We start from the raw sequence: 7,448 nt of genomic DNA, 5'->3' as shown, positions 1-7,448 counted from the left end.
CACTCCAGCCTGGGTGACAGAGTGAGACTCCATTAAAAAAAAATTAATGTCTTAAATTGCTTACCATTGCATAAAATTAATGCTTCAGGAAAATTTGCTCTGTTCATTCAGTGGTTTTGAGGGCTTCACCACACATTCCTGGAAGCCCTCTTACCCTAGTTTGAGGATGGTTGTAGGCAATGAGAAGGATTCTGATAAGGGTTGGGCTAGCGGAGGGAGACCCTCTAGAAAGGTCAGTATGATGTACTCAGATGACTGGGTTATGTGCACAGGGACTAAAATTTGGGGGGCACAGAGACAATTAGAAATCTGTTTTCATAGACAGCTGGGAAGTCATGGGGGCTTGTGACTGAGAGACTAAAAAGGCAGAAGACAAATACATTCAAGAGGCAAGGATGCCAGAGTTTGATGAAAAACAGTTGGGCAAGTAAGATATACACATACAGTAATTCCAAACGCCAAAGTAAGACAGAAGACTAATCTTTTTTTTGTGTTACAGGTTTAGAGATACCATATTTTGTTCTCAGATCCATGTGTCAACATTTTAACATATCTGGAATCAGAATGCATCAAGCAATTGATGATACAACCCAGTTTAATTGCAGGTTTTGTTTTTTCTGGGTGGCACACAAAATTATGAGACGTCTTACCATGGCATCTTAAATTTGTTGAAATATGATATTTGTCAGGTTTTAATTATAAATTTCTAGCTAATAATCTCTCTTTGGGACCATTAATATGACAGCATAAGCTACCCCAAGGGTCAAGATGAGATCAGAGGCTTTTTGAATCTATCATGGGGATTTTTGATTCCATGCTTTAAAAGAAGGTGGTTCTCATTGTCCCTCAATATATAATTGATGGACAGCAAAGACTAAGATCCTTTCCAGAATTTTCCCTTTCCTCCCATAACTGCTCAAAACAAGGCAGGTCTGTGTGATCACTTGATTTTTCACCTACTACCTGCCAGAGGTTACATTATATACAAAATGTAAATAAGTCACACTCTTTATGACCTTTTAGAAGATACAGATATTGTCAAAATATGTAAAAGAGTTTTCTTTAGACAATGTTGTTGCCACTTATTTATGGCAATTACTTTATAGTCAAAGTTATCTCCCAAGTTTTCTGAAAATTCCTCTAAAATAGTAGATGGTTTGCGATATTCTAAACTTTTAGGGTGTCCTTTCCACTAGGAGGTGAGTTCATGAAGCATGAGCTGCTGCCACCATTCTTGCCTCAGTCCCTGAGCATTGAAGGAAGTGCTGGGTGGCCTGGGGGCTGTGGGATGAAATGCGTGGAGCTTCCTCTTGCTTCATTGTTTCCAAGCTGTATCCATTTCTGGACCCCACTTATTTCCTGCTTTTTTTGCTTTTCTTTTTTTTTTTTTAAGAGTCAGCCCTACCTCCCTTTTCTATTTTCCTATTAGGTAAAGAGTCTGATGAACTGATTCATACATAAATTTCAGATAAAATTATAAAATTATTTATGCCCCTACTCCTCCAATGGCTGTTGCATTTGCAGTCTTGAGCCCAAGACTTTAGTCAAATTGGGAAATTTCAGGAACTTGGACTTATATTTTAAAGTACACTACAAGCTGGGCAAGGTGGCTCACGCCTGTAATCCCAGCACTTTGGGAGGCTCAGGCAAGAGGATCACTTGAGGCCAGGAGTTTGATACCAGCCTGAGCAAGACAGAGAGACCCCGTTTCTACAAAAAATCAAAAAATTAGTTGGGCATGATGGCATGTGCCTGTAGTCTCAGCTACTTGGGAGGATTGTTTGAGCCTGGGATGTTGAGGCTGCAATGAGCCATAATAATGCCACTGCATTCCAGCTTGGGCGACAGAGCAAGACCCTGTATCCAAAAAAATTTTTGAGACAGAAATAAAAATACACTACAAAATGTTACCTATACATAGAAACAGTAATAATAATACTTCACAGGGTGATTATATGGGTCAAGTGAGCTAATTTTTTAAAGTGTCTGGCACACAGTACACACTTAATTAATGGTGGCTATTACCACTGTTGCTTCTTGAGTTATTGTTTAGCAAATCTCTGTACAATTAGAAGCTGTTATGTCTGCAATGGCAGCAGAGACAGTACATTCTCCTCCCCAGCTGCATAAGGTAAGTGTGATCTGATGTTGTAGACGATGAGCTTCATTAGCTACAGATTATTTAATATATTTCTGGTGACCTCTGTGGTCAAGTTCAGCTTGCCAGAAATAAGGAGCAGCACATAACAGGCCTCACTGAGCAACAGTAGGTTTCAAGTGCAAACAAATACCTCATTTAAATGCCTTATAAAACAGTAGAGAAATTATGTGTAATGGAAATTTAGGGAAGGTCTGCTAACGTTGTATTCTTCTTTCCTTAAATTTCCCCACCCACAGTTTAAATATTTTTAATGAAGCAAATTGTGTAATGCATCAATGAGATGTCCTTCTCAGGACATGGTTTCAAGGAGATTCCAGTTGAACCGTCAGGCTCTGAGAAGTGGAGTAAGGTTTGTTGGGCCCTGCTGGGATTGGGATTGATTAATGGTGTTGTGATAAGCAGGGAAACAGATCAGTGGCAGCTCCTGCTCCCAGCTGTCACAGCTGTGCCTATTCTCTCTTGCAGGCTTTAAAGCACCTCCTTTCCTGTGGAATTTCTGTAAATTATTTGCTCAGACGCCAAGATGCCATAGAAGCAGCTGGCTCTGAGAATCTGGTCAGATGCACGTATTTGTTGCGGTTTAGGACATTACCTTAGCAATTCCCCATTCCTGCCTTCCCCAGGAGTGAGGGGGAACAAATGCATGCTAACTTTGGAGAGAGAGGGAGCAGGCTAGCCAAGTTGCAAAGCCAAGTGCATCCTTAGTAGTGGAATGTTATACATTGTTTCTTTTTCTAAAAGAAACAATGTATAACATTATAAAGAAATATTTTGTTTCCTTACATTTCTTTTTCTAAAATGTTTTACATGGCCTGGCCAAGATGGTGAAATCCTGTCTCTATTAAAAATACAAAAATTAGCAGGGTGTGGTGGTGCATGCCTGTGATCCCAGCTATGTGGGAGGCTGAGACACAAGAATTGCTTGAACCCGGGAGGTGGAGGTTGCCGTGAGCCAAGATCGCGGCACTGCACTCCAGCCTGGGTGACATAGAGAGACTGTCTCAAAACAAATAAAATAAAATAAAATAAAAATAAAAATAAAATAAAATAAAATAAATATTTTACAGAGGTGACTGACAGGTGAGCCTCACATGTGCTTTTGGAGGCTCCCACGTATAGAATGGTCAAGTGAGACTTGGTTTCCGAGTTAACGCGTCCATTGCAGCAATGCATTCTCATCCCCGCCTATACTAAGGTGGCCCATCACATAGCAACAGACACTCAGATCACCTTCAACACACGCTTGCTCAGCAGTCTCAGAAGGCTCACCCCATTCTCTCTTCAATAAGGTTTTAGCCTGGCTGAGGGAGAAGCCAAAGGTAAGCCACATAAGCAGACCTCCAAATTCACCTCAAGGTGCAATGCGTGGGTGAGGTTTCAAGGTCACTAAAGATATCAGCAATACATGAGGTGTTTATCATGTTAGCTGAACAGGTGTTGCTATTCCCATATTACACATGAAGAAACTGAGGCTAGAAATAAGACCCAGATCTTTTGAGTCCTCATGCTGTTTTCTCCCTATAACACGGCATCATATTAATACTTTTTTTTTTTGAGACAGTGTCTCACTCTGTTGCCCAGGCTGGAGTGCAGTGGTACAATCAAGGCTCATCGCAGCCTCAACCTTTCAGGCTCAAGCGATCCCCCTGCCTCAGCCTCACAAGTAGCTGGGACTACAGGTGTACATCACCATGCCCGGATAATTTTGTACTTTTATTTTTGTAGAGATGGGGTCTCACCATGTTGCTCAGGCTGGTCTCAAACTCCTGGGCTCAAGTGATCCTTCTGCCTCAGCCTCCCAAAGTGCTGGGATTACAGGTGTGAGCCACCACGTGCAGCCCATTTTTCTTTTTTAAAAAACAGAGGACAACACTTCATAATCTACAAAGTCTCTTCCAGCTCTTGTGCTCTGTAAGTCTATGATTCTGAAATACAAAACCTGGCTTTTCAGGCCTGGGTGACTGCGGTGGTTGGCATTGTTTCAAAGGCTGTATCCTCAAATGTAGACTTTGTTCATTCTGAGAAGGTGAGTAGTAGCTTTAAAGTCAGAAAAGGAATGAGATTATTTTACATTATTTGTTTTCATTGCATTGAAATATGATTTAATAAGTAGTATCCAAGTAAATAATGAGAATAATGCAATAAGCACTTAAGTTTAAAGCTTATGATCCCTTTTATAGCAGTGTCGGAGATATGAGCACAACTAATACATTAAAACATTTTTGAAGAAACTCTTGTTTGGTGAATTTCACACTACTAAAATGGGACATGACTAAAGATATCTCAAACAACCATACCACTCCAAATAATGTCCAACATTCCCCTACTAAAGATGCACTTGGCTTTGCAAGTTGGCTAGCTTACTCTTTCTTCATTCACTGTTCTACACAGCACTGCAGGTAATTTTTCTGAGTGGTGTTGGGAGACCCATAAGCCTAGTCTCTTCTGAAAACAAGATTACAGAAATGTATTTTCCATGGGAGAAAGTTAATTTTTAAATATACATTTTTCTCTATTTCCAAACATGGAATAAACATGTTTCCCTTTATTTTTAAATGTAAAATGCATATTCCTGAATGCAGCTTGACCGAAGAGCTTTTGTCTTAAAGTTCTACTATTTATTTTTTTTGCCATTATCTGATATGTCAGCAGTGTTTCATAATGCCTCGTGTCACACAAAAGCAAACACAGTCACATTACATTAATGACTAGGCTGGGATCATATAACTGACTGGCTATAATTCTATGCCCCCTTGCTATAAAAAAACATGACCCTAAATCCTACCAGCTTTGCAATAAAAGGCCCCACAATTATGATATAGTAACAAAGCTAATGTTATATACAGTTTGATTGTTTCAATGTTCTTTGCCCATCCATTTTCATTTTACCTGCTATTATACATGTTAGTAAAAAGTAAAGTGGAAATCCACTCTTCGGTATTTTAGGTACAATGTTCATTTACCCAACATACTTAGCCGGATAAAACTAAATATAGTGGAAACTTCTTTTATAATCCCGGTGTTTGAAGTTAGGACTAAACCTACCTTGCAATGTAATTGTAATCACAGACATTTTCCATATGTATTTGGGTTTCCTAAATGAGGTCTAGGTAACCATCTGTCTCTAAATATATGATCAATCACCCCAATACCACTTGATTTTTAGCTAGACTAGTCTTTACCAAATACTAGTTACTCAACAAGTGCTAACTGTCTGGAGGAGAAGCCAACCTTCTCTTTGGTCTATTACTTTGGTCTATTACCCCAAAGCGTTCAGCAGAGATTATCAGTAAAAGGAGTTATATATGCCCAATCTATTAGACAAAGTAAGACCAGCAAAGGCAGCTCTGTGTGATTTTACCTTCCTCCAAGAGAGGAGCTGTTGCAAGGGCTCCAGCATGCACTTTTGTCCTTCCTGTGAATCTTGCAGGGTTATTTTTTGGAGGCTAGATAGAAAAAGCTTCCACCGTTGTATCATTTCCTTCAGTGCCAGCAGCTTTTATTCTTTTAAACAAGTGTTTAGAGGAAAGTGTTGATGCTTATTAATCTGTTTCTTGTCTTACAAATGTGCTTACACATGATTGGTGGTAAAACTGCATATCTGACAGCTCTCAATGTAATCATGAGATGGCAGGACATGATTGTTACACTGAACATGGCAGGACAAGATTGTTACACTGAACAGATCTGTTTGGAATTGTTATTCTTTGTAATTACCTTCATTAAGTGAAAGCATGTGTCAATCAACTTTGAACTTTGAACATACCAGTAATTTGCAAGAAAAATGCATTTCAATTTCTTATAGTCACACATGTGCTTGAAGATGAGTATATATGTAGGTAGGTATATATGCTGTATTAGAAACATATTTTGGTAATTTTCTGAATATATAATTTCCCCCTAGTTTGCATGTGGTAACTTTAAATATAAATAAAGTATACAACAGCTCCAGATAATGATATCAACAGAGTATGTTTAATAAATGGCTAATCTATGTACTAATATTTAAACAGATATTTTAAAATAAAGAACACTCCTCCCTAAATTTCTGCAATAAAAGTATACATTCACATGAATTTTAACGCCATTCCTCAGTAGAAGTATAAATTTGAAAACATATTTACTTTTTTGCATTACTATATATTGTACATCAACCATGGTGTTATCACTTTCTTGATTTGATCAGAGCTTACCTGGGTCAGGAGTCTGCCACCAACGAGGGAACATTTCAAGAAAGTATCCTGAACTTTTGTAGGTTAGTTAAGAAGTGCAAGGGTGGAGCGTGAGAGGAGGGTGAGGATCGCAAAACTACCCATCAGGTACTATGCTTATTACCTGGGTGATGAAATAGTCTGTACACCAAACCACCATGACATGTAATTTACCTACATAACAAAACTGAGGCCAGGCTTGATGGCTCCTATCTGTAATTCCAGCACGCTGGGAGGCTGAGGCAGAGGACCCTTGAGTCCAGGAGTTCAACACCAGCCTGGGTAACATAGTGAGACCCCATCTCTACTAAAATACAAAAAACTTAAGCAGGCATCATAGTGCATGCCTGTAGTCCCAACTACTTCAGGGGCTGAGGTGGGAGGATTGCTTGAGCCTAGGAGTTCAAGGCTGCAGTAAGCCTTGATTGTGCCACTGCACTCCAGCCTGAGTGATGGGAGTGAGACCTTGTCTCCCCTACCCACCCCCCCACAAAAAAAAGAAAAGGAAAGAAAGAAAAAAGTATAACAACCTGCACATGTACCCCTGAACCTAAAAGTTTTTTTTAAAACGTGCTACTCATTCTACCTTTCAATGACTGTTATAAACCAATGCCCTTCTCTCCCTTAGTGTAACGGATGCCCCCATGCACTTATTCATTCATTCAACATTTCATTCTTTCATTCATTCATCCACCTTTCATTCATTAACAAATTCATTCGCTCATCCGCATTTATGAAATAACTGTACAGCACCATGGGGGATTAAACAAATGAGTAAGATACTCAAAAGAGAATTCAGGAGAGGAAACAGAAGAAAAGCTTAGGAATTAGTCGCACTGTAGTGTCCTAGTCTGGCTTTTCCAGTCCGGGCATTATGAAAATTCCTTTTCTGCTTCTTCCGCATGGCCATTTATCTCCACCAGGGGGTGTTGAGGTATAGAAAAACAGATAAAGGTGGTGGAGGCAGCTTTACAACTCCTCAGCAACTCCCTTCCCTTCTAAGGGCTGAAATTACTGATTAAAATGAGGTTCTTCAGACGCTCTGTTAACTTCAGCTGTGCAACTTATCCTCCATA

The sequence above is a fragment of the Homo sapiens genome, chromosome 1 (assembly GCF_000001405.40).
Source record: "Homo sapiens chromosome 1, GRCh38.p14 Primary Assembly".
NCBI lineage: Eukaryota > Metazoa > Chordata > Mammalia > Primates > Hominidae > Homo > Homo sapiens.
The sequence above is the reverse complement of the archived record's forward strand: the minus strand, read 5'-3'. Positions refer to the sequence as shown.